Source organism: Homo sapiens, chromosome 5 (genome assembly GCF_000001405.40).
Source record: "Homo sapiens chromosome 5, GRCh38.p14 Primary Assembly".
NCBI lineage: Eukaryota > Metazoa > Chordata > Mammalia > Primates > Hominidae > Homo > Homo sapiens.
The window spans coordinates 1,198,033-1,225,139 of NC_000005.10; the positions used below are offsets into that span (position 1 = coordinate 1,198,033).

Genomic DNA, 27,107 nt, shown 5'->3' on the forward strand with positions numbered 1-27,107 from the left:
CAGGCACCCTTTAAGTTGGGCCCCAAGGCCCCTGGGAAACTCAGGTGTGTCCAGTGGGGCTTGCAAGGGGCAGGGACCCTCCACACACATCTGGGCTCATGCCTCCAATCGTCTTTGGTGTGGACTCTCCCACAAAGCTCATTCAGAAGACCTGCCCTTAACCATCCCACGCTCATTCTCCCTTGCTGGTCCTTGGGGTCCAGGAGACACGTCCTCCCCATCTGAAGACTGTCCTGTCCCCTCCGCCATTCCTGAGTCCCCACTCCAGGCCTGGGCCAGCCACTGACTCTCTCTCTCTGTCTGTCTCTGTCTCTTTGTGTCACTCTGTCTCTGTTTCTTCCCCCTCTCTGTCTCTGTCTCTTTTTCTCTCTCTGTGTCTCACTGTCTATCTTGCTCTGTCTGTGTCTTTCTCTCTCTCTCCCTGTCTTTCTCTGACTTTCTTTCTCTGACTTTCTTTCTCTGTCTCTCCCTCTCTCTCTCTATCTCTGTCTCTCTCTGTCTGTCTCTGTCTTTCTCTCTCTGTCTCTCCCTATCTCTTTCTTTGTCTCTATCTCTCCCTGTCTCTCTTTCTCTATATCTGTCTTTCTCTCTCTCTTTTTGTCTGTCTCTGTCTCTTTCTCTGTCCGTTTCTGTCTCTCTGACTCTATCTCTGTCTCTCTCTGTCTCTGTCTATCCCTGTCTCTCTTTCTCTGTCTTTCTCTCTCTGTCTCTCCCTATCTCTGTCTCTCCTTGTCTCTCTCTGTTTCTGTCTTTCTCTCTCTCTGTCTCTGTATCTCTCTGTCTCCCCCATCTCTCTCTCTCTGTCTCTGTCTTTCTCTGTCTCTATCTCTCTGTCTTTGTCTATCCCTATCTCTCTCTGTCTCTGTCTCTCTCTGTCTTTCTCTCTCTTCCTGTCTCTCTGTCTTTCTCTCTCTTCCTGTCTCTCTGTCTCTGTCTCTCTGTCTCTGTCTCCCCATCTCTCTCTTTTTCTGTCTCTGTCTCTCCATCTCTGTCTCTCCCTGTCTCTCTTTCTCTGTCTGTCTCTGTCTTTCTCTATCTCTCTGTCTCTCTCTGTCTTTCTCTCTGTGTCTCTCCTTGGCTCTCTTTCTCTGTCTTTCTCTCTCTCTCTGTCTCTCCCTCTCTCTGTCTCTGTCTCTCCCTCTCTCCTTCTCTGCCTCTATCTCTCTGTTTCTCTTTCTCTGTACTTTCTCTCTCTCTGTCTCTCCCTTTCTCTCTATCTCTGTCTCTCCTTGTCTCTCTTCCTCTGTCTGTCTCTGTCTTTCTCTCTCTCTGGCTCTCCCTGTCTCTTTCTTTGTCTCTTTCTCTGTCTCTATCTCTCTGTTTCTCTCTGTCTCTGTCTATGTCTGTCTCTCTCTTTATCTCTGTCTCTCCCTGTCTCTGTGTCTCTGTCTCTCCCTCTCTCTTTCTCTGTCTTTCTCTTTCTCTCTGTCTCTGTCTCCCCATCTCTCTTTTTCCCTGTTTCTGTCTCTGTGTCTTTCTCTCTCTGTCTCCATCTCTCTCTGTCTCTCTGTCTCTGTCTTTGTCTCTCTCTCTGTCTCTGTCTCTCCCTCTCTCTGTCCCTGTCTTTCTCTGTCTGTCTTTCTCTCTGTCTCTCTCTTTTTTCTCTGTCTCTCTCTCTCTCCCTGTCTCTCTTTGTCTGTCTCTCCCTGTCTCTGTCTCTGCCTTTCTCTCTCTGTCTTTCCCTCTCTCTGTCTCTGTTCCTGTTTCTCTTTCTCTGTCTCTGTCTCTCCTCGTCTCTGTCTCTACCTCTCTCTGTCTTTGTCCCTGTCTCTGTTTCTGTCTTTGTGCCTGTCTCTCTTTCTCTGTCTCTCCTTGTTTCTGTCTCTCCCTGTCTCTCTTTCTCTGTCTCTGTCTTTCTCTCTCTGTCTTCCCAAGTCCCCACCCTTCCCTCCAATCTGCGCTGTGCTCGGAAGCCAGGAGTCCTTAAATGCAAACGTGATCTCTTCCTTCTGGCCTCCCTTTCTGAGTTCCTGTGTCCTAGGGGCAAAGGTCAGGCGCCTAAACTCGCTCATCTCTGAGTGACGCCCCCAGCGCCTTCATCTCCATTACTCAGCGAATGTCGATGAGCCCTGTGCAGGGTGGAGGTGGGGGCGGGGGCGGCTCTGGGTCCTTATCGCCCAGCGGTGCAGACTGAGATAAAGGAACCAGGAGGCTAGGGAGAAAGTCCCATGCCTGCCGGGAAGGCCCCGGCTATGGAAGGAGCCATGTGGGCAGTGGGGGCAGGGGGCCAGCGAGGGCCCCCAGGGAGGTGAGCCCAGAGGCTGAAGGAGGCAACGGGAGGAAGGCCTGGGGAGGCGCAGGGTGTGGCACCGTCCCTGGCCTCAGGAAGGCTGGTCCGGGATTCCAGAGCTTGAGGTCTCCTAGATGGGAGAGACGTGAGGGGAGGCCCAAGTGGGGGCCCAAACGGGCAGCGCCCGACAGAGGATGGCCTCCAACTCCCTGTGCGGAAAACCAGGAGAGAATCCCACTCTGGCTTTGGAGACACAACCCCCAGGATCCTCTCCTGAACTCCCCGCAACGTTCCTCCTGCCCCTCCTGGACCCCGTGGTCAGCCCTGTGGCTTCCCTGCACGGCCTCTTTGCTGGGGAGCAGGAACACCATCTCCTTCGCTGTCCCATGCCCGGCACAGGACTGCCCCCCACAAAGTGCTCCACAGAAGGACAGAAACCGTGCAGTCACCGGGAAGGTGGGGATCTGGGGTGGCTGCAGGTTCCATGACACAGGACCCTCCATCCCCCGTGACCCCAGAGGGCCCTTGGGGACGAGGCTGCCCTAGAGGGTGGCTCTGGGTCCTGAACCTATGGCCGGGAGCTGAACTCCTCCTGCTCGATGTTCTCCAGCTCAGCCAGGGATGGGATCCGGGCATCCAGGCTGGGGTTGGGCAGCGTGAGCTGTTCATTATGAAGTTCATTACGAACCCCAGAATGAAACTGTGGCCCAGGGGGCACAGCCACGGGAACCCCACTCTCAGGTTGATTCAGGCCACATCCCAAGGAGCCGTGGTTCCGTGGGGACTGGTGGGAAGCCGGGCCCCCGAGCAGCCGTCTAGAGCCCAGAGCCAGGCTGGAGGGGTCCAGGGCCTCGCTGTGCTTGGTGTGAGCAGACCAAGAGCTGCCCCAGGGCCCCTGCTCCCGCTGAGTTCCCTCTCCCTGGACTGGGGTGGGGGCCGGGGATGCCTGTGCTCCAGGGAGCTGTGGAGAGGCCCACCCGGCGTCCTGCAGGTGGGGGTGTGCGGCAGCCAGGGGCTCCCAGACCGGGGCAGAGCCAGCATCCTGTTTGCCTTGGTTCTTTCTCCCCGGGGTGCACCGGCGTTTGTACGCATTTGTGTGTGCGTTTGTGCAGGGGGAGGGGTGGCCAGCGCCCACGGAGCAGCCTCCGGTTGCCCGAAGGCAGTGGGTGGCTCTGCTGGCCCCGGGGCCGGGCGTCTCTGCAGATAAGGCATTAACAGTCCCTCCGCAGACGCACCCTGCAGATCTGCTGACGACTGGCTCCGTTCTGCCCAGGTGCCTGGGGCGAGGTGCCAAAGGTTCTCTATAAAGTGCCCGGCTCCCGGCCCACGGCCACTCGCCCTCCAGCTTCTGCCCTGCCTGCTGTGTGCGGAGCCGTCCAGCGACCACCATGGTGAGGCTCGTGCTGCCCAACCCCGGCCTAGACGCCCGGATCCCGTCCCTGGCTGAGCTGGAGACCATCGAGCAGGAGGAGGCCAGCTCCCGGCCGAAGTGGGACAACAAGGCGCAGTACATGCTCACCTGCCTGGGCTTCTGCGTGGGCCTCGGCAACGTGTGGCGCTTCCCCTACCTGTGTCAGAGCCACGGAGGAGGTAGGCTGGCCGGGCGGGGCTGCGGGCGAGGCCGTGGCCAGGGAAGCACAGACACACGCAGAGGCCCTGGGCAGACATCCTCCCCGGACCCTCGGCTCCCCAAGCACGGAGGGGAGAGGAGAAGCCGCAGGGTGTGGGGGGAGCTGGGGCCCCCACGGGCCCCCGTGCCCGGTTCCTAGGCTGCTGGTGAGGAGATGGGCCTGGCCGGCACGACCCCAAGACTTCGTGTGGGGCTCCAGGGAGGGCCCTGTGTTCCAGACTGGCAGTCCTGGAACGTTCTGGCCTGAGGGTGGGGCCGGGGGAAGGGTGTTTCTCCCGGTACAGCCCCTCCTCGGAGGACGCGGGGCTGGGCCCTCCTGGGCATCACCTCTCGTCCCAGCCCCACAGGCGGACACCTGCCAGTGCAGGGAGCAGAGGAGGTAGCTGGGTTGGGGGCAGGTGACCCTAGAGGAGCAGAGTGGGTAGCCGGAGCCTGTGGACTCGGGCCTGGCTCTTGAGCCAGGTGCCCTCAGGCCTGGAGGCCGGGAGCCGCTGTGCCCACCCAACACACAAGCCTGACTGCTCCTCGTTCCTCTGGCTCCTGCGGCCCAGGTAGGCATGGCCGCTGCTGGCACAGAGGTGACATTTGTGTTCCTGCCCAGTGGTCCTGAGCATCTGAGAAGTGGCTCCCAGGCCTGGCAGGGGGCTGTACCTAGGACCCCCACACTTGAACTCAGCCTTGGGCTTGGCGAACCCCAAAGCTGCTGCCCTCATAAACCTGCTGCTTTCTCAGCGGAAGGTCCAGGAGGGCCGGGCACCCTTGGGAAACAGGCTTCCTGCTGCCCTGGGGCAGTTCACGGGGGGGCCGTGAAGGTCTCAGCCTCCGTTTAGAGGAGTCTGCCCTCAGGGGGCCCTGTTCCTTCTCACCATGGAGAGCTGCTGTCTCTCACGCGGGCTTTGTGATGTGAAGGTTTTTAAAGAAAAACAGAAATGGGCTTTTCCTGAATCAGTTTCGCCTCCAGCATTGTCAAGGAGTTGATCACTGCCTTGCGGGGGTGGGCGCTTCATGAGCCTCTGGTCCAGCCTGCACTTTCCACTGGAGGCAGGTCGGGGGACCTTGGCCACTCCGATACTATAGTCCCTGACAGTCCCCAAGTCTCAGCTCACCAAAGCCTCAGGGGACTTCCTGGCCACTGTCCTCGCCCCCTCCCCCAGGGCCCTATCCTGTGGGGAGGATCCCTGCGCTCACCCACACCCTGAGTTTGTTTAGCTTGGAGGAGAAACTGAGTCACAGGCTCACATCCCCACTGGGGATGGAGGGGCAGACACATGCCTCCTGGGAAGAGGAGGGGTTGGGACTGCCTGAGCCTGCCTGGGAAGTTATTTGTCTTTGCACAGAAGGGCAAGTTCTAAGATGCGGGCTTGGGCAGGAATCTGATGGGGCTCCCAGCACCTCAGATAGTCCCCGCTCTGACACCCAGAGACCAGCCGCTGTGCACGGTGGAGCCTGGGAGCGAGCAGCTTTCAAGCAGCGGGTGCTGGCGCTGCACCCTGGGCCATGCTGGGGTGGACAGGTGCGGGCAGCGGGCAGCGGGCAGCGGGTTCCGGGCAGGCAGGCCCAGGTGAGGAGGGCCGAGCAGGGCTCTGGGATGTGCTGGGTCTCAGATGGTCCCACTCCTGGGGTGGACACCAGCAGGCCCTTCTCCCCAGACCCCAGACAAGCTTCCCCTGACCTGGCCCTTCGGCTGGGCCACCAGGTCACCTGCTAGACTCTGAGGGCCACTGTCACCTGGGCCCCCATCAGCTGCGGCATCGCAGATGGCTCCACAGGGTTCTGGCAGTCGCCCCGGCCTGGAGGAACCCTGTGCCTTTTGGTCATGCTGTGGGGGCTGACCAGGACCCCACATACCAGACCACCAGCCTGAAAGAGCTGAAGCCCACACTGCAGCCAGAGGGACTCGGGCCAGAAGGGCAGGGCCCCGAGAATGGGAGACGGCTCTGCAGGCCACCGGGTTTCCCAGCAGGGCACCCGTCTCCTGGTGAATCCAATCTGGGCCGCAGCTCTGCCACAAGGGAGCTTTCAGGGAGGCAGCTGAAAGGACCCGGCGACACAGGGTCCCCTCCTATGGCTCCTGGGGGCCTCATGGGCACCAAAACAGTGGGGCAGGCTGCGTCCCTGGGAGGCCACACCCACAGACAGCGCACTCTCTCTCTGTGCATCTTAGTGAGGGCCCCAGCATGCATGCCTTGTCAGTGACACCAGATTTCCTAATTGATGCGGGTCATCGAGACCAAATCGAGGGGAAGCAGGCAGCCAGGTCCTCCTGGTTCCCTCTTGGAAGCCTCCTGAGTGTCTGGGATTGTCCTTCGAGGTTAAAAACCATTTACGCGTGCCTCCGAGTCTCCTGTGTCTTAACAGATTTTGCCCTCCTTGGAGAGCCTGTGCCAGGTGGGCAGGCTCAAGGGACACTTTCCTGAGGAAGGGCATTTCCAAACTCAGCCGCCCCACTCACCTGAGCCGTCTCAAGGGCGTGCTGCACCTGGGCATTCTCACCTGGGAAATGGGTGTGATGGCGGAGCCCCCCGAGGGTGGTGCTGGGGGCAGTGGGCAGGTGTGCAGGAACAGCAACCAAAAGCCGTGAGGCGTGGTCAGCCAGGGCTCACCCCACTCACCCCCACCTGGGAGCACCACATCCCCACGGCAGGGCCCCGCAGTGCCGGTGGCGCAGGCGGAGACGCATTCATGCCCACCTGTGTCCGTCCAGAAACCTCAGTTGCCCCGTGTGTCCCCGTCAGTGGCTGCTGATAGAGCCCACCCCACAGCTGGCCCCTCAGGGGCTGCCCCCCCAGCTCCTCTGCACAGGGCAGTGATGGTGTCCGTGAGCGAGGTGGCGTGCGGGAGCCGGAGGAGCCACCCCTTCCAGGACCATGTGGCGCCAGCACAGCTGTTTCCAGCTGTCTCTTCTTTGCTGCTCAACGCCTGGCCCCGGGGTCAGCTTTCCCCTTAGTCCATCTGCAGCTAATTCTTAGCAAAAATCCATGCAGCATTTACTTGGTGCCACAAACACCACCTGCTGGAGAGAGAAAAAAGGGGAAGCTTAGTCCCTGCGTGAGAACTGCAGCTCCCTCCTCCCCCTCTCTCCTGGTTTCCTACTTTTTCAAGGACAGACAGGAGGAACTGTTTCTGTGCCCAGTGTCTCTTTCCCTCTGGGTGCTTTCCATTTGGCCACGTCCCCACCCCATTCTCTCGGTTACCTGCTTCCACCTGAGTGAGCCAACATCTGCAGCGCCGCAGAGAGGCCTGGTTTCCAGGGACCTTTGCAACCACGTCCAGGCGCCCTGCAGGGCCCCACCAGGCAGAGCCACGCAGTGTTCCCTGGGCGCTGGCCGCCCCTTTCCTTCTCTCCTTCCTCTGCACCTCACCCCACACTAGGAAGAAGTCGCTGCGTTTAAAAGACAAATATTCATATTCTGGTGGCTTTAATTGTCAAGAATGCTTGGCTTTCCTTGAGTTTCTTGGGGCAGGACAGCCTCCTTCATTGGGAGCAACGGAGGGCCTGGCTGCCTCCGGGCTGCATTTGGGGTGGAGTGGGTGTGTGCCCCCCACCCCCAGTCCTCTCTGTTCACTGCTCCATGCTGAGCCTGAGCCCCAGGGGTTGGGGATTTGAGGGTCTCCTGCCCGGAGGAACCTTCAGAAAGGAGAGCCACCAGGAGCAAGGGCAACAACTGAGACTCTCAAAAGAGGGGACACCCTGGTGGGGTTTTCAAGGATGAGTAGGAGTTTTCTCAATGGAGATGAAGCGATAGGAAGACCCGAGCATTTAGGGTTAGGGCATAGTGGAGGGAAGGGAGAGGGTGGAGGACACTGGGGATCATGCACTTGCTTTTTCTTGGTAGTTTTGTCTGGAAGAGTTTCAAATCAAGCTCTTGGGAAAAAAAAATTGGAGGAGTGAATCTTTTCTTATTTTAACCTAATGAGCAGGCCCTGCTGGGGTCTTGGGTGTCCCTGCAGGTGAGCCTGCAGCCCCCACACCCTCCCATAGGGACCCGCTGGTGAGCATCTCCTGCACCTGGCTACCATTCCCTTCTGCCTTTCATCTCTCGATGAATCCAGCATCCCGCCAGCCCACCCTACACACCTGGCTCTGCTGCTGCCACCTGCAGCTCCTGCTTCTGAAGGAACCTGTCCCTGGAACCCCAGCTCAGAGAGAGGGGCCTGTGTGGGGATAGAGGTGCTGGGCTCCAGAGGGCCCTGCTCCACTCAACAGGCAGGCACCAAGTGGACACAGAGGGAGGGGAGAGAAAAGGCTCCGTGTTAAACTGGGAGAGGGAGCAGTGAGAGAGGCTGGCAGGGGCCAAGTGAGGAAGTCACAGCCTCCAGTACCTGGCTTCTCCCTCCCTCCCTCCTTCTCTCTCTCTCTCTCCATCGCCCTGTCTGTTTCTCTCCTCTGTCTCTCTCTGTTTCTGTCTGTGTGTGTGTCTCTCTGTCTCTTTTTCTGTGTGTCTCCATCTCCCCCTCTGTGACTCTGTCTCTGTGTGTGTGTCTCTCTCTCTCCCTGCCTCCCTCTCTGTCTCTGTCTCTCTGTGTCACTGTCTCTGTGTGTGTCTCTGTCTCTCACACATGTGCTGTGCCATCCCCTGAGGATGGTAGTTTGGGATCTGACATGGCCCTGCTGGCTAAGGAGACAGTGGCTGGGTCGGGAAGGGAGGCGATGGGGATGGAATGGAGGGAGCTCAGGGTGTAAGAGATTTGGTGGGAGAAGGACAAATGGAACACGTGTGTGGGGAAGGAGGGTGAGGGTGCCCAGCCTGGGGGGCGGGAGGATGATGGGGGCTTGGCTCTGCTGGTGGGGAGGGTGCAGGCAGGCGGGTCACGCGTCCCTCCTGAGAGGCCCCAGGGACACGCAGCGTGAGGAGGGGCTGTCGCTGGGACCCCAGTGTCATGTGAGCATCCCCACAGCCCTCCCTCTCAGGGTCAGCCACCACGGGACACAAAGGTGGCCCCCAGGAGACAGGACCCATGTCGGGATCAGGCTCACTGGGGTTTGGGACCTGCACACCCCCAGGCCCTTCAGCCACAGCTGTGTTTGGAATTCTTGCGCCGTTGCAGCTGCTGACCTCGGTCCCAAAGGCTGTCGGCTTCGCTGTGCTCACCCCGGCTGCAGCGTGGCCCTTCCGTCCAGCCTGGGGCAGGCGCGACGGGAGCTGCTTCCGCGTCCCCATAGCAGGGTGCTCGGGTTCAGGTAGGAGACGCACTGCGCGGTGCCAGGCCAGCCTCGGAAGCCGGGCGCCACGGCCTGCACTCACCTCTGCTGTTCCCTGACCCTCGTCCTTCTCCACCTTCGAGTGAAGGACCCACCGGTGTCCACGCTGCCCTGGCCGGATGGGAGCCCTGCCAAGGCTGTGTCCCTCCTCGCCCTCTGCCGAGCACCTTGGGCACCGTCATGATGCCCAGGAGTGGCTGCACCTCATCCTGTGTGTAGCCTGGGGGCCTTGTGGCTGAGCTGGGAGGCCGTACGTCCACCCGCAGAGGGAGCGGTCAGGGCAGCCCGCTTGGCCGGGCGAGTGGAGTTCATGGGCGCGGCCAGGCCCCTTCTCTGGGTGCTGGCTGCCGCTGAGCTCTGAGAGGAAGCTGACCTATGCTTTTCAGCTTTGGTTTTTTAAAAGAGACAGAATTTAAAGATGTGAGGAAATGTGAGTGTGAAATCCTTCTAAGCATCTGCGATTTTTCCTGAATCTCTTCTCCCGGTCCCAGGCTGATTCTGAGCCTCTGCGCCTGATGATGGCAGGAGCCACTCGGCTTCCTCTCAGGATCAGCACATCCCTATCTTCTATCTATTTCAAACCAACTTTCAAACAAACAACTCTCCAGTCAGTTGAAACACTAAACGTGGCCCTCGGTTTAGACCATGAGTGAGTCACCTGTCTCCTGGCTGTCAGCGCCTGGACAGTCCCACTTTCCTGCTACAGTTCTAGCCCAGACTGAATGACCACAATTTCACAAAGATTAAATAGCATCATATTTCAAAGGTGATCTTACACTGTTCCACATTAGAGAATTAGCCCCAGAATGATAGCTGAAGGTGTCCTTTTAGAGCAAAGAGGTAGCAGTGCAGAGGTGGGTAGATCCCCCATAAGACAAGACCGTTGTCACAGCAGAAGCAGAAATGTCTCAACGTGGTTCTCCTTTTTGCAATTTTTTATTATTATTGAATACATATATGTAAAATTTGCCATTTTAATCATTTTTACATGTACAATTCAGTGGTATTAAAGACATCCACAATGCCATGTAACCAGCACCTGGGCTCAGGTCCATCTTTAGAACTCTGTCTTAAGAACCAAAACGGTCCCCATTAAACCCTAATTCCCCACTGAGGCCACACACGATTGCCAGGAAACAGCCTCTCCCCACAGGCATGCCAAATCCACAGAACGTTCATTAAGCCAAGGAGGGACGTGGCAGGTGCAGCTGGCACAGGCGGGGCAGGAGTGGCACGCTGCTGTTGGAAGCCCCTGGCTGGACAGGCAAAAGCAGCTCCTCCGTGGGACTCCTGGACTGCCAGGGGGTGGGTGGGGAGGTCGATTCCCAGGCAGCGGCTGTGGTTGCATGTTGGTCAGAGCGCGTGAGGCATGGACCACACCTCCCTTAACGACAGCAACGTCCAGAGGTCCCATAGGCGACCTCAGCCTGTGTGATGGTCAGGAATGTCCAGCTGCCCAGCAGTGCTTCTAGAACGTGGAGTCAGCTCTGGCCCTGATCCCATGGACTGGCTGCTCCATCTCAGCTCTGTTCCCAAGTGGTGGGCCGGCCATAGGGGCTGCAAGGTTTGCTGTGAATGCCTGCTCCCGAGGGAGGCCTTCCTGCTCCCCCGGGAACGGCTCTCAGGCATGGTGGACTCCTCCCATTGCAGGAGCCTTCATGATCCCGTTCCTCATCCTGCTGGTCCTGGAGGGCATCCCCCTGCTGTACCTGGAGTTCGCCATCGGGCAGCGGCTGCGGCGGGGCAGCCTGGGTGTGTGGAGCTCCATCCACCCGGCCCTGAAGGGCCTAGGTGAGTGCCTCGGAGCAGTTCCACCCGGGCCCAGGGGTCGCCTCTGCTGGGAAGCCGTTCCACCCGGGCCCAGGGTTCGCCTTGCCGGCCTCGGTGCCCCTGCTCTGCCTTCCCTGTCTGTTTCTGGTGCAACAAAGGTCCCAGCTTCATCTCCTGGAGGCCTTTGGAAACTCCAGGCCACTCCTGTTCACCAGGAACCAGACAGGCCAGCAGAGGCCGCCCGAGTCCCTGGCAGCCCAGGGCCCAGGAGGGTCCAGACACTGGACAGCAGAGTGACCACTCAAGCCCTGCCCATGGCGGCGCTCAGCGAGAGCCCAGGGCCCAGGAGGGGGCACCAGCCTCCTGTGTCCACTCCCCCACACCTAGTGAGGAGGTCCCCAGCACTGACACCCCCAGACATAGTCACTCATTTATAAGCTCTGGGGCCCAGGAGCAGACCCAGTGCAGCCTCACCAAGAGGACACGGCTCATTAAGCCCTCAGAATATGGGCAGACGGTGAAAGACGGAGGAGGAAAGGGCAGGGTCCACTCCAGAGAGGAGTCTGAGTCCAGGAAGCACCTGCCCTTCGGAAGCCTGCAGGCCTGGAGCAGAGCCTACACCCTCATCCCAGCCTCTCCCTGAGTCTCCAAGGCCTCCCTCCAGGCCCAGGGCAGAGCCCACACCCTCTCGCTGAGTATCCAAGACCTCCCTCCTCCCTCTCTCTTCCTCTCTCTGTCTCTCCCTCTCTCTTCCTCTCTCTCTGTCTCTGTCATTCTCTCTTTCCCCTCCTATTCTCTCCCTTCCCCCCTCTCTCTCATCCTCCTCCTCTCTCTCTCTCCCTCTCAGTCTCTGTCTTTTTTTCTTTCCCCCTCCTATTCTCTCTGTCTCTTCCCTCTTCTCTCTCTTCCCCTATCTCCGTCTCTCCCCCTGTCTCTCTTCCCCATCTCACACTCACATATTCACAACACACATTTGGTTTTGAGTTTGAAACTTCAGTAAAGCATGTACTACATAGCACACTTTCCATCCTGCCTAGCTGTCCCCAAATAATTGAGAACATTCCCCTCTGCAGTTTCTGTTGTCTCCCCTCTCATGAGTCCTCCACAGGGAAGGCTTTCCTGAAGCCCACCCACCTGTCCTGGGCCACGGGGGCTTCCCGGTTTGGGTCAGGGCCAAGTGGGCAGTCCCCCAGCCCGTAGGCAGCAACCAGGCTACTGGTACATCAAAAGTTCTCTGCGAAGGCGGTGGCCTGGATGCACCTGCTGGAGGCTGCACTGGGCAGGTGAGACCCATGCCTGGGGCAAGCCAGGCAGGCATGTGCCAGGAAGGTGTGAGCCGGGAAGGCGTGTGCAGGGCAGGCGTGTGCCAGGAAGGTGTGAGCCTGGAAGGCGTGTACAGGCTGCACCACGGCATCAGCTGCATGATCCCGGCCTGCACTGGGTCGGCCCCTCAGATTCTGGAGTAGCCCATCCCAGCCACACCCTGTGCCAGCCCTGGGACCTCCTGCTCAGAGTGGGGATGGGTGGCCAGTGGAGGGTGTGCCTCGGCCCCAAGCCTCAGCAGCAGCCTCCCTGCAGGCCTGGCCTCCATGCTCACGTCCTTCATGGTGGGACTGTATTACAACACCATCATCTCCTGGATCATGTGGTACTTATTCAACTCCTTCCAGGAGCCTCTGCCCTGGAGCGACTGCCCGCTCAACGAGAACCAGACAGGTGAGTCCTTGCAAGCAGCCCCATCCGTCTCACCTGTGAGGCTGTTGTGTCTCTCATAGCAGGCACATGGCCTCAGGAAACTCAGGTCAGGCGTGGCAGAAACCAGAGCCCCAAGGCAACAGGGTGTCAAAAAATGACAGCACGAAAGAAAAGACCTTAAAAGTGGTGGCTCTTGTGTGGGGGGCGTGGTGGAGGATGAGACCCTTGGGAGGAAAGCGTGGGAGCCCGGGGGGGCTGTGCCTGCTCTGAGGGCCCCCGGTCACCAGCCTGGAGCCCCAGGCTGCTGGGAGGCTGCTCCCTATTCTCTAGGAAGGGACATGGTGTCAGGACTGCCGCCTCCCGCCCCATGCATCCCTGCGTTGCTCCGCACAGGTGGGTCTGTCCTGCCCATGTGGGGCCCGCATTGCCCTCCCACCCCGGCCCTTCCAGAACCCTCTTGCCCAGGGAGGGAGCGTAGGGGGCAGACCCTCTACGTGTGACATGCAATCAGCTCACGGCGATTCACACGTGGTCCTGGGGCCTGAACGGCTTGGTCACCACCGGCTTCTGGTCCGACCAGCACAGCGGGGCCAGCGGGGCTTCCCTGCATGCTGCTGCTCTGTCGGGGCCGGCAAGATGGCCCCTGGGGTTGGAATAAGACAGGTCCTCCCACGATACGTGCAACCCTCACTGCTCGCTGGGACTGTCGGGGCCCTTTCCTGCCTCCGGGGCTGTGGGGTCCTCTGGAATTAGACCACTTCCCCTTTAGAAAGGTCTCAGGATGGTTCCACAAGCCCAGAGAGGCCCACAGTGGTGACAGTGTGTGGAGTGGGCAGTTGCAGGCAAGGGCCCCAGCCCGGGAGCGCAAACACTCTGAGGCTGCCAGACTTGCACAGGGAAGAGGGAGCAGCGTGAGGCCCAGGGTGCACCTGACTGTTGGGGCTGGAGCCTTCTAACCAGTGCACCTGTGTAGGAATGTGTGCTCGTGTGCTCACAAAGGTGTGTGCATGCATGGGGTGTGCAGATGTGTGTACCAGATGTGTATGCAAGGGTACAGCTGTGCATGTGTGCTATGTGTGTGCTGTGTGTGCATGCATGTGTGTGCACGTGAGCATGTGTGCTGTGTGCATGTGCATGTGTGGGGTGTAGAGGTACAGTATCGGATATGCACGTGAGAGTACAGTCACGCTTGTGTGCTGTGTGTGTACATGCATGTGCGTGCATGTGAGCATGTGTGCCTGTGTGCATGTGTGTACTGTGTGTGTGTGCATGTGCATGTGTGGGGTGTGCAGGTGCATGGACCAGATGTGCACGCGAGAGTACAGTCACACTTGTGTGCTGTGTGTGTACATGCATGTGTGTGCATGTGAGCATGTGTGTGCATGTGAGCATGTGTGCCTGTGTGCATGTGTGTGTGTTGTGTGTCCGTGCATGTGCGTGCATGTGAGCATGTGTGCCTCTGTGCATGTGTGTGCTGTGTGTGTGTGTGCATGTGCATGTGTGGGGTGTGCAGGTGCATGGACCAGATGTGCACACGAGGGTGTAGCTGTGCATGTGTGCTGTGTGCGTGCATGCATGTGCGTGCACGTGAGCATGTGTGCCTGTGTTCATGTGCACGTGTGGGCGTGTCACTGGTGTCAAGGCCTCTGGAACGTGGCTGGCATTTCTTCCAGCTCAGGGCCTTCCATTCTCCTCCCTTGGGGGACCCGTACCCTGAGGTGTGTGAATGGCCCTCTCCCCAGGGTATGTGGACGAGTGCGCCAGGAGCTCCCCTGTGGACTACTTCTGGTACCGAGAGACGCTCAACATCTCCACGTCCATCAGCGACTCGGGCTCCATCCAGTGGTGGATGCTGCTGTGCCTGGCCTGCGCATGGAGCGTCCTGTACATGTGCACCATCCGCGGCATCGAGACCACCGGGAAGGTACTGCATGGGCCCGGCCAGGCTGCAGGTGCTCCAGAGGGCGGGTGCGGGCAGCCCTGCCTCCGGCCGGCTGCACTCTAAAACCCAGGTCTGGGGGTCCCGGGCTCTGCCTTTCCCCAGACCCCACCAAGAGAGCTGCCTTTGCCCTTAGGCTCACTGGCCTGGGCGGGAGGGGCCCTGCCTGCCCCAGGTTTCCTGAAATGACCAGACTTGGGGCTCCAGGAACTTGACGTTGGCCCACACGACACTTAGCGTTATGTAGGAGTAATACAAACTACCAGAAAGAGATAGACGATGATGATGATGATGGTGATGATGGTGATGATAAAACAGGAAAGTGGAAATGGAAGAGTAAGGCTTGATCTTCCCCTACATGGGAATCTTTGGTACGAGGTCCAGAGCGGCCATCCCTTTCTTCTGGTGGGCCGGCAGCCTGTGAGGCCCTGTCCCCGTTCCCACTCGTCCCACATGCCCCCCACCACAAGCACGGCCCCCCTCCGCACCATCCCAAATACCCAGGCTCCCGCAGGCCCTGCCCCCCATCCCCACCCATTCCACATACCCAGCCGCCCGCAGGCCCTGCCTCCCGTCCCCACCCGTCCCACATGCTCGGCCCCCCGTCGCCCTGGGCCCCCTTCCCCAGATGCCCCAACCCCTGTAGGCCTGGCCCCCCTCCGCACCATCCCACATACCCGGACTCCACAGGCCTGGCCCCCCATCCCCATCCATTCCACATGCTCTGCCCTCCGCAGGCCCCGCCCCCCACAGCCCCTGCCCCCATCCCCACCCCTCCCACATGCCCTGTCCCCCCAACAGGCCTGGCCCCCTCCCCACCCTTCCAGCATGCCTCGCCCCCCGTAGGCCTGGCCCCCATTCCCCACATGCCCCGCCCCCATATGCCCCGCCCCCACGTGCCGCCCCCACCGCATGCCTGGCCCCCCAACTTCCCGCCCATCCCACATGTCCCGCCCTCCGCAGGCCGTGTACATCACCTCCACGCTGCCCTATGTCGTCCTGACCATCTTCCTCATCCGAGGCCTGACGCTGAAGGGCGCCACCAATGGCATCGTCTTCCTCTTCACGCCCAACGTAAGTCCCCGAGGCTGCCCTGGGCCCAGACCCCGGGAGAGGCCTGGCTGCCCTGTGCCCCCGCCAGCCTCAATACCAGCTCTCACCCACGGGGACAGGCAGCCTGCTGCTCGACCAGTCCCAGGCCTGAGGAGGTCCACGGGGCCAGCGAGGGCAAGGCCTGTCCCTGGGGCCTGGGGCAGCTCCTGGGAGGGTGGCTTTGCCCCTGTGAGCCGACGGAGCCCCCACAGGGAAGGCATAGCTGCCACCCCAGGGGGCCCTGGCCTGTCCTGACCACCCCAATAGCCTCGACCCTCCCCGCCTCCCTGGGAGCACACCCTCCCAGGTCCCCATGGCCCCATCTGCACCATGAGTGGCTGAGGGTCTCCATGTGGCGCAGGTCACGGAGCTGGCCCAGCCGGACACCTGGCTGGACGCGGGCGCACAGGTCTTCTTCTCCTTCTCCCTGGCCTTCGGGGGCCTCATCTCCTTCTCCAGCTACAACTCTGTGCAGTGAGTGCGGGTGTGGTGGGCCTCAGTTTCCCTCTCAGTCCTGGGGGGATCTTGCTGGGAGGATAAAAGACAAGGTGGAAAGCACTCTGTGGCTGTGTGGCCGGGGCCTTGCTGCCCCGATGGGCCCGTTCCCTCCTGCTCGGGGTCCATGTGAGCTGAGTCTAGAGTGCAGCATGTGGAGGAGGGGCAGGTCTCCCTGTGAGGAGGGCCAGGAGCCGGGCGCCTGCAGCTTTCCCCACACCCGTCCCTCCACGAGCCTGGTGCAGACCCCTCCTGTGCTCTCCCCAGTTCCCTGCTCCACACCCACATCGCTCCCAGCCCACCCCTGGGCATCCCAGGCCCCCAGACATGTGGCGCCCCCGACGCCCTCCACGTCCCCGACCAAGGTCTGATCCTTCCACTGCCCCTTCCCCACGTACCCACTGCGCTTCCCAATGCCCCTGGGAAGGATGCATACCCTGGAGTCCCCAGCAGCGTCTGGGAGGAGCACAGCTGGTGTCAGTTAATTTCCACTAGCATTTATGAAGCACCTACTATGTGCCCGACCTGGTGCATCAGGACCTGCCCTCAGTGACCTGTGGCTCTGCAGGTTGACAAGCAAGTGCAGAAGTTGTCCTCTGTGTGGTGACCAGAATTTCAGAGCAGAAGGGGCTGGGGGTGAGGGAGGACTCCTAGGGGTCAGGGTGGCCCTCCAGGCTGTGAAGGTGCGATTGGAGTCAGACACAGGGGACCCTCAGTGCAAGGGGGCAGGGCCTGGGTAGGGAGGGTGGGGCCTAGACTGGACGGGGGCCTGGGTAGGGAGGGTGGGCCCTGGGTGTGAGGGGCGGGGCTGGGCAGGGAGGGCATAGCTGAGGCGGGGCTGGGGCTTGGCAGGTGCAGAGCCCAGGCAGGGAGGGCTGGGGTGCAGAGGGAGATGTGCTTGGAGGCACCTGCAGATGGGCTTGTGGGCAGAGAGGGTGTTGGAGGGACAGAAAGGACCCTGGAGTCATTGTGCGAGCACTGGGTGGAGCAGTGAAGCCCCACCCAGGCCTCAGGAGCTCCCCTGGGTGCTGAGGGCAGGTGCTAGGAGGACCCCTGGGCACTGCAGGCAGCTGGGGCAGGGCCAAGGCAGGATTGAGGACTCTGACTTTTTCGTGGAGTGGCTGAGGTGGAACTGAGGGTGAATTATTTTTATAACAGCTTTATTCAGATCATTTGAATACCACACAACTCCCCCATTTGGAATGCCCAGTTCAATGGTCTTAAGTACATTCACAGAGTTGTGAAGCCAGCCATCAGCACTGTCCAGTTCTAGAAGGTTCCAATCAGCAAAAGCTCCACATATGTGAGCAGCCGCTCCCCAGTGCCCTGTCCTCCTGCCCCGGGTGAGCACTGATGCGCTCTCTGCCTCTGTGGCTGTGCCTAGTCCGGACATTTCCTGCGAATGGGGTGGCCACATTGCCACAGCCCTGTGTCTGATCCTTGCATGGGGCACAACATCCTCAAGGCTCATCCCATCACAGCCGGCGTCAGAGCGCCATTCCTGTTTAGGGCTGAGCAATATTTCATGGTGTGCATGGGCTACGGTTTGTGCATATCCATCCATGGACATTTTCCACGTTTTGGCTGTCATGAGTCATGCTGACGTGAGCCTGTGTGTACGCGTTTTTGTGGACGCATGCTTTCGTTCTTCTGGGTGTGCGCCTAGGAGTGGAGTTGCTGCGTCATGCTGGCCTCTACATGCAGTCCTTCGAGGAGCTGTCAGGCTGTTTTCCACGGTGGCTGCACCACTCACGTTCCCACCAGCGTGCAGGAAGCTCCAGTTTCCCCGTATCCTCACCAACACTTGTTATTGTCTGACTTTTGTTTCTGGCCATCCCAGCAGGGGTGTGGTGAGATCTCACTGCAGTTTGATTGGCATTTCCCTGAGGCTAACAGATTCAGCTTTTGATGGAAGCATCTGGAAGGATGGTGTCAGCATCAACCGAAATGGGAAGGGTGGAGTGAGCTGGCTGGGTTGGGTCAGGGAGGTCAGGGCTTGAGTTCAAGACACACTGAGCACAGGGTGCCTTTAGGAAATGGTGAGGTCTCAGCTGCCAAGCAGCTGGACAGGACGCCTAGGGTGGAGGCTGGGGGAGAATGGATGTGATGTCTTTGGCCTGGAGCTGTCCCTAGAGGCTTGACGGAGGTTACCGCAGGCACAAGACGGGGCGGAAAGAGACCTGAGCTCTATAACCAGAGTGGTCTGGGGAGTCAGGAGCAGTCATAGCCTGGGGCAGCCCCTAAGCTGAGGCCAGGTGAGCAGGGGACCAGGTGCTGCCCTGGGGCCACCTCTGCATCCCCTGAGCCTGCTCGGAGTGGGGCAGGGGCTCCGACTGCCTCCCCGTGTCACTCAGTGGCTCAGCCTCTCACTCCTGGGGCTGGCGCTCTGGGCGGGATGCGGATGCTGCCCTGGGCTGTGTCCTGACCTGGGACCTCATCGCCAGCCGCCATGACACTGGTCTCGTCTGCAGCAACAACTGCGAGAAGGACTCGGTGATTGTGTCCATCATCAACGGCTTCACATCGGTGTATGTGGCCATCGTGGTCTACTCCGTCATTGGGTTCCGCGCCACACAGCGCTACGACGACTGCTTCAGCACGTGAGTGGCTGTCCCACCATCCTGGTGCCTTGGGCTGCGCCTCCAGGAAGCCTCCCAGCCTCCCTGGCCCCAGGTGGCCGTCAGCCTCAATCTGACCCGCAGGAACATCCTGACCCTCATCAACGGGTTCGACCTGCCTGAAGGCAACGTGACCCAGGAGAACTTTGTGGACATGCAGCAGCGGTGCAACGCCTCCGACCCCGCGGCCTACGCGCAGCTGGTGTTCCAGACCTGCGACATCAACGCCTTCCTCTCAGAGGTAGGTCCATTCCGGAGCTCGAGGCAGGGAGAGGGCACCCCTTGCTGGCACCTCAGAGTCCGGCCACCCCTGGGCCCCTGGCCTGTGGAGGACGCAGATGCTGAGCTTCAGCCGGGAGGCCCAGCTCCCACTGTCTGCTCTGCCTGGCGTCCAGGGCTCTTCGGTCTGGGGCGCTGGTGTCTGCCAGGCCACGAGATTTCACTTCCGAGGCTCCTGTTAACGCAGAGGCGTAGGCTCAGAGGCAGGAGCCGGGGAACACCACGGGCTGCCCCTCCATTCTCTCCTATCACACACACAAAACACCCCCTGGGGCCATCTGTAACACGGTGACTTCTATCGACATTGAAAGAGTTTTTGTAGCTGTTTTTGAACCTGTGAGGCCACCAGGACAGGTTTTATTTTGGACTGGCGGGCGAGGCTCAGCCACGCTGATGTCGAGGATACTCCACGTAACGAGTGTTTTTGAATACTATTTCCACAGTTAACGAAGTTTAGATGCTGTTACAATTAAAGGTCGACATTTGCTGATTTTCATTATGCAGTGTTCTTTTGGGGAGCCACCCCATATTTTGCGGGCATGAGGCACTTCAGGGCCCAGTGCTGCTTCTCCAGTGGCCACTGGGAGAAGAGCTGGGCAGAGCGAGCCATTTCCGCACCAGCTGGAGCCAGGCAGAGGGCTCCGCGGCCTCTCCCGACCCTGTGCCACCAACTGTAGGAGGCCTCCAAGTGCAGGATGCGCAGGCAGGAGGGGCCCAACAGGGCCGTCTGGTCTAAATGTCTTTTAAAAGCAACTTTAGTGAGTTATAATTATGCACCATGAAATTCGCCCACTTCCAGTGCCTTGCACAGCCATGTGCAGCACCCCCGTCCACGCCCGCAAGCTTTCCGTGTGCTGTTGCTCCCCACCCCTGGCAGCCCCAGGCACCCCCTCTGCTGCTCTGCCCACCTGCCTTTTCTAGAAACGCCACAGAAAGAAACCCCCGTGGTGTGCAATCTCATGGCAGGGCTGCCCTCGGCAGTGCCATTCCGAGAAGCACCAGAGTTGGCGCCTCCATCCTGGCGCCTCCTCCCGCCACCTCCCACCACCTCCTGCCTCCTCCCGCCTCCTCCCACCTCCTGCCCTGCACTGAAGAGCGGCGTGCCTTGTATGCACGTGCTGCTGCCTGCTTCTAATGATTTCCTTTTAAACTCTTCAGAGCCCTCCACAAGCCACGTCCTGCTGTGCAAGGGGTTCCACTCTTGCCTCTGGAACTCGCATAGTTGTGTTAAGCGGCCGTGGAGGACCCTGTCTTCAGATGGGTCCTTGAGTCCTGCCATATCCAATCCCTGAGCCAGTTCCCTGCAGGGAGCCCCACGGAGCTGGGCAGGTCCCTCAGCCTCATGGGTGGAGGTTTTTCTCCGGAGATTCCACAGCTAGGACCACTGATCGCCAGGACCGTGATGGGCCGGGGCCTGGTTCTTGGTGACGGTCTGGGACCAGACACAGGAGCAGAAGGCGTCCGGGTGGTTGCGCCTTGGTGGTTCTTACCCGAGAGCCTGTCTGTGAGCACAGCCTGCTCTAACCCGGCCGTTGGCCACCTGCCTTCCGAGCACGTCCAGGGTATGCGTTTATTAACAGGTGACTCGCGTAACACCTTGGGTACGTGGCTCAGCTGCACTGGATCAGGGCTGTGCAGGCTGTGAGATCTCAGAAGCTCCCTGTGTTGGGAGAGCCCGTCTGTGGGCGGAACGGGGCTCTGAGTGCCGCTTGGTGATGGGATCCACGTGCTGGTCCTGATGCATAGTTCGGCTTTTGAAAATACACTTTGGGCCTAAAAGACAAGATCTAGCTATTTCATGACAGCTCAGACCTGCCCGCCCCATGCTGCGTGGCTTGGCGACGCACGAGACCTCGGGCGGGGAGGAGACGGAGCCCACGGAGGGCAGAGGCCCTGGTGACTGTGTGTCATCCGTGCAGGCCGTGGAGGGCACAGGCCTGGCCTTCATCGTCTTCACCGAGGCCATCACCAAGATGCCGTTGTCCCCACTGTGGTCTGTGCTCTTCTTCATTATGCTCTTCTGCCTGGGGCTGTCATCTATGTTTGGGAACATGGAGGGCGTCGTTGTGCCCCTGCAGGACCTCAGAGTCATCCCCCCGAAGTGGCCCAAGGAGGTGCTCACAGGTACGTGTGCAGTCGGGAGGGGTCCCCATGGCAATGGTGCCACCTGTGGGATGGCAGCCCCCGGCTGTGTGAACAGCTCTGTCCCCGGCCGTGCGTGCAGCCCCCGGGCGTGTGAACAGCTCTGTCCCCGGCCGTGCGTGCAGCCCCCAGGCGTGTGAACAGCTCTGTCCCCGGCCGTGTGTGCAGCCCCCGGGCGTGTGAACAGCTCTGTCCCCGGCCGTGCGTGCAGCCGCCGGGCATGTGAGCAGCTCTGTCCCCGGCAGTGTGTGCAGCCCCCGGGTGTGTGAACAGCTCTGTCCCTGGCCATATGTGCAGCCCCCAGTTGTGTGAACAGCTCTGTCCCTGGCCGTGCGTGCAGCCCCTGGGCGTGTGAGCAGCTCTGTCCCCCGGCCTGCAGGCCTCATCTGCCTGGGGACATTCCTCATTGGCTTCATCTTCACGCTGAACTCCGGCCAGTACTGGCTCTCCCTGCTGGACAGCTATGCCGGCTCCATTCCCCTGCTCATCATCGCCTTCTGCGAGATGTTCTCTGTGGTCTACGTGTACGGTGTGGACAGGTAGGGGCCACGGTGGGGACAGGTGCCTCTAATGCAGAAAAGCCAGGTCACAGGGCGTTCCTGTGAGGGAGGACCCGGGCTGTGTTCAGGGTACGGAGGGAGAGTCTATGACTCGGGGCCTCGGCCGGCCACAGAGGCTGGTGTAGACCTGTCCTGGCGGGAGCAGAGGGCATCAGCAGGGCCCTGGCATGCCGATAATGGGAGCTTTGTGTTGCTGGGAGCCGGGAAGCCCAGTGGAGCCCAGACCTTGGCGGTGCCCACGCAGAGAGCCAGAGCTCGAGGCCACTGCAGGGCCCACGGCCGGGGATGCTCCTTGTGTGTGTGTGTGTGCAGGGGGGTGGGGAGTGCCTTATTTCCCTGATGCTCCAGGCCTTTTTAGGGCAGAGAGACTCCAGCAGTGTGGTAGAGCCTCAGACAGGGACTCTTGGTTGGAGCCACCACAACTTTAGAAATAATCAGACAAGGCCGGGCACGGTGGCTCATGACTGTCATCCCAGCACTTTGGGAGGCCAAGGTGGGCAAATCACTTGAAGTCAGCAGTTTGAGACCAGCCTGGCCAACGCGATGAAACGCCGTCTCTACTAATAATACAAAAATTAGCCAGGCATGGTGGTGCATGCCTGTAATCCCAGCTACTCGGGAGGCTGAGGCAGGAGAATCGCTTGAACCTGGGAGGTGTAGGTTGCAGTGAGGGGAGATCATACCACTGCAATCCAGCCTGGGTGACAAAATGAGGCTCCATCTCAAAAAAAAAAAAAAAAAAGAGGAAGAAAAGAAATAATTGGACAGACTCAGTTAACATTGAGCAGGCACAGCCCTGCAGGCTCCCGGCTTGGGAAAACCCCAGCAGTGGGGTTTGCAGGACGCAAGGGCAGTAAGCCCTTGCCGGGTGTGAGGTGCATGCATAACCACCTAAATGTGGAGCACGTGAGACCAGCTCCTCCTCACACGCTTCTGCGGGGACCATGGGTACCCACCTGGACACTGCAGGCCTGGGACCGGCTTGGGTGTAACCTTCTGCCTGCTCCATCCTGATTTATGCAGACGATAAACTCCTTTGCGCAGAAGAGGGTTCAGCAGAGGATGGGAATTGAGCCGTAGGGTGGGGAAGGTGTGGGGTTTTCTGACTTCAGGGTGCTGCTAAGGAAGGAGAGGCTGGGGGTGTCTGGCGGCGCTCCCTCCTCCAACCCCCCATTCTGCACCAGTGACCACCTCAGACGTGGGTGAGGGCGGGGCACCTCTGACCATGGGCAAGCCGTCGAGCACTGGCTGGTGGCATCGTAGGGCAGAGGCAGCTGCTGGCCGTGCCCACAGAGGGGTCTGCTTGAGGAGGCACCCATGACCAGGAGGGAGGGATCGGGCCCTGGCAAGGGGAGGCCGGGCACCTCGCAGCACACCATCTGTTCGGGTAGCAGAACGTACAGAAAGCTTAGCGAGTTGAAGCCCAGCTGGTAGCAGCAGTGACAGCTGTCTCTGGCCTTGGCAGGTTCAATAAGGACATCGAGTTCATGATCGGCCACAAGCCCAACATCTTCTGGCAAGTCACGTGGCGCGTGGTCAGCCCCCTGCTCATGCTGATCATCTTCCTCTTCTTCTTCGTGGTAGAGGTCAGTCAGGAGCTGACCTACAGCATCTGGGACCCTGGCTACGTAAGTGTCCAGGCAGTCGCCTGGGGTGGGGAGAGGAATGGGGAAGGGGAAAGGAGGACACTCATCCACACACATGGCGCATGCACACACAATACACACACCCACACACATGGGCACACACACTCACACTCAGGTGCAGTCCAGCCACCACCCCACGCATCTTGCTGGTTCCCCCCTCCCTGACACCAATGTGTCACACCATCCCAGGAGGGAGGTGGGTGGGCTGGGAGTTGGGAGGTAGGGGAAAGGGGAAGCTGGAGGAGCCCCAGGCCACCCTGCCTGCCCCACAGGACAGGAGGTGAGAGTCATGGGGTGAGGGGCCTTTGCCTCAAAGTGAACCCCACTGGCTCCCGGGATGCCTACTCACCCATGGGGCTCTCTCCCCAGGAGGAATTTCCCAAATCCCAGAAGATCTCCTACCCGAACTGGGTGTATGTGGTGGTGGTGATTGTGGCTGGAGTGCCCTCCCTCACCATCCCTGGCTATGCCATCTACAAGCTCATCAGGAACCACTGCCAGAAGCCAGGGGACCATCAGGGGCTGGTGAGCACACTGTCCACAGCCTCCATGAACGGGGACCTGAAGTACTGAGAAGGCCCATCCCACGGCGTGCCATACACTGGTGTCAGGGAAGGAGGAACCAGCAAGACCTGTGGGGTGGGGGCCGGGCTGCACCTGCATGTGTGTAAGCGTGAGTGTATGCTCGTGTGTGAGTGTGTGTATTGTACACGCATGTGCCATGTGTGCAGATATGTATCGTGTGTGCATGTACATGCATGGGCACTGTGTGAGTGTGCACGTGTATGCACACATATACATGTGTGTGGGTGTGTGTATTGTATGTGCATGTGCCATGTGTGCAGATGTGTCATGTTGTGTGTGTGCATGTACATGTATGGACATTGTGTGAGTGTGCAAGTGTGCATGCATATACATGTGTGCGATATTTGCTGCCCGTGTGTGTGCATGTATATATAGACATACATGCCTATGTTGTGTGTGGTGTGCATATGTGTGAACACACACGTGTATACATGCATGCACATGTGCTCGTACAATGGGTGTCCACATGCACGTGTATATGTATATCTGTGAGTGTATATACATGCATGCAATTGTGTGTATGTGTGTTCTGTGTGTGCGTTTGCAAGTATATATGCACATGTGTATATGTACATGTATGCCTGTGTGACGTGTGTATATGTGAGCATGTGTACGTGTGTGTATACGTGTGTTGTGTATATGTGTGTGTCTGTACCTGTTTGTGTATATGTGTGTGATGTGTGCTCGTGTGTGTGCATATTCAGGCAGGTGTGCATTTGTGCATGCCAGTGTGTATGTATGTGCGCATATGGACACGCATGGACACGCATATGGACACATATGGACACACATATGGACACGTGTGGATATGTGTGCGTACACGTCGCTGGGACACATGCCTGCCACTCGGGGCCCAGCTGCCCTCTGTGTTTGTCCTTGCCACAGTCACGGGGTGCATGTGCAGAGGGGAGCAGACCACTGGGGACGTGCTGTGCCCTGCACGTGCCCGGGGGAAGCGGAAGCTGCAGCTGGGGTGGGGGCAGCACCTCTATGCTTCATCTCTGTGGGTGGCAGGAGACAAAAGCACAGGGTACTATCTTGGCTCCTGGGAGCGACTCTTGCTACCCACCCCCACCCATCCCCTTCCCCTTGGTGTTGACCTTTGACCTGGGGGTTCCCAGAGCCCTGTAGCCCTCGACCCGGAGCAGCCTCTCGGAAGCCGGAGTGGGCAGTTGCTGGCGATTCTGAGAAAACTTGGCCGCATCCACCGGGGCCCTGCCTCCAGTCGGCCGCTGCCGAGTCTCTGCGTTCTGGCCGCTTCCCGGCTTAATGAATGCCAGCCATTTAATCATTGCTCCTGCCACCACAAATAGATGAGCAGTTAAATAAAACTCAACTTGGCATAATTCAAGGCAAATACCACTCTGTGCATTTTCTTAAGAGGACATGAGCTGTGTGAATTTTTAGCCAGCCTTTGGAAAAGATGGGTTACAGGGTAACTCAACCCTGGCTGCCATCCTTGGGCACTGTGTGTGTCCAGGGCACCTTGGAGGACCGTGCAGCCCCCAGAAGCTTCCAGCTCCCGCACCACTCAGTGAAGCCCAGCCTGGCGCCTGCCCTGCCCCCGTCACGGGATGGGCCCCCATTGGGGTTCAACATTCCATCGCAGCCAAAGGCAGTCGGCACTTGGGACATCTGCTTCCACGGACAGGTCACCTCCGCTTTGCACGGAAGAATCTGGATGCTTACATTAAACTGGTGTTCTGAGAGTTCCTACGGACAGGTCACCTCCGCTTTGCATGGAAGAATCTGGATGCTTACATTAAACTGGTGTTCTGAGAGTTCCTACGGACAGGTCACCTCTGCTTTCCATAGAAGAATCTGGACGCTTACATTAAACTGATGTTCTGAGAATTCCTACAGGCAGGACTGAAAGCCTGGTGTGTGCCAGTATGATGTTCCACCCACAGAAACCTGGTCACAATCGTCCCTTCCAGCACCCCATCCAGCAGTGACTGCACACACTGAGTCCCCTACCAGCCCCTTTCACCCTGCTGACTGTCACTGGGCCCTGGGATGCGCAAGACTCCACAGCAGCAGAGGTGGGGGGACATATCACAGCCTCTGCCCCCGGCTGTGATGCCACCGAGGGGCTCGCCTGCTGATGGCTTCAACAGGGTCTCACCTCATCTTTTCCTGCTCTTTGGCCCTGGATCGAGAAAATTTCCATCAGTGCCCCATTAATATGCTGCCCTGTGGCATCTGCCCAGGAGGCCCTGCCAGGCGTGCACAGGTGTGCATTGGTGTACCCTGGCATGCACAGGTGTGCACTGATGTGCCCTGGCATCCATTGGTGTACCCTGGTGTGCCTGCCATAGGACCCTGGGCGGGAGCTCCCATCTCATCTACATCTCCTGATTCATGCGTTGTTTCATAGGTTTCAATGTCTCTGTAAATGTGGTAGAAATGCAGGCTTTATGGGCATAAAGTGTACATTTCTAAATAAATCCCTTCTATTGAGTATGCTCACCCTAGAAGTTACTGTTGTCCAGACGTAGAGGGATGAGTGAGCCAGTGACCTCAGACGGGATGGTGGGGACGGCAGGTCCAGCTCCTGCCTCCTCCTGGGGGGTCTGGCTTTGGGGGCTTGCTCCGAAGAGGCCATGGCCCAGGCCTGTGGCCTCACAATGGGGACCAACCAGCTCTTCTCATCTTCTTCCCTCACACTTCCTCTCACTCAAATAAGAACCTTCCAAAAATGTGTCCACCTGGGCCCCTGCCCTGGGACTCATGGATTTGGAGTTGTGGCCACACGGTTGAGGGGTGCAGTGTCCAGTGGAATGGGGCAATTGCGGGCCTGGGGGCCCTTGGCCTGTCCGTGGCGGGAGCATCTGCAAGGAGGAGCCCCAGAGTCCAGGGAGCACTGTGGGGAGCTCCTTAGAGCTGAACTCACCCGGCGTCAACTCATCAACCCTCCACCCATGGACAGGGGTGCCCCCAGCACAGGAGAGGACTCAGCCCTCTGCCCCCACGCACGGTGGGTGCCTGTCACCCTGTCCTGCCCAGCGGCCCGAGGGCAGCAGTGGGTGTGAGGGCAGCCCCCGGCCTCCCAAGAGCAGCTGAGAGGATCCCTGCGGGAATCCGGGCTTCGGGTGCATGCGATCTGATCTGAGTTGTTTCTGACAGTGACAGAGTGACAATCTATAAGTATCTCAAGATCAAATGGTTAAATAAAACATAAGAAATTTAAAACGATTAAAATATGCCTCAGTCTTGGGAATCC

General features: G+C 59.3%; 1 protein-coding gene across 1 annotated transcript, besides 1 other annotated feature; it reads left to right on the top strand.

Annotated features, from left to right (window-relative positions):
* On the top strand, nucleotides 3,563-27,079 carry SLC6A19 (solute carrier family 6 member 19). The gene is made up of 12 exons (NM_001003841.3): nucleotides 3,563-3,820; nucleotides 10,714-10,854; nucleotides 12,412-12,549; nucleotides 14,271-14,452; nucleotides 15,431-15,541; nucleotides 15,921-16,033; nucleotides 18,526-18,654; nucleotides 18,757-18,913; nucleotides 20,871-21,075; nucleotides 21,473-21,632; nucleotides 23,119-23,281; nucleotides 23,669-27,079. The coding sequence occupies exons 1-12, from the start codon at nucleotides 3,619-3,621 to the stop codon at nucleotides 23,870-23,872; spliced, it is 1,905 nt and encodes a 634-aa protein (NP_001003841.1). The 5' UTR covers nucleotides 3,563-3,618; the 3' UTR covers nucleotides 23,873-27,079.
* Nucleotides 6,031-6,594: an enhancer, noted in NCBI's record as "H3K27ac-H3K4me1 hESC enhancer chr5:1204178-1204741 (GRCh37/hg19 assembly coordinates)". NCBI's record gives its function as "activates a minimal SCP1, AML or CMV promoter by ChIP-STARR-seq in primed H9 embryonic stem cells {active_cell/tissue: H9 hESC(primed)}" and the evidence as "EXISTENCE:reporter gene assay evidence [ECO:0000049][PMID:30033119]".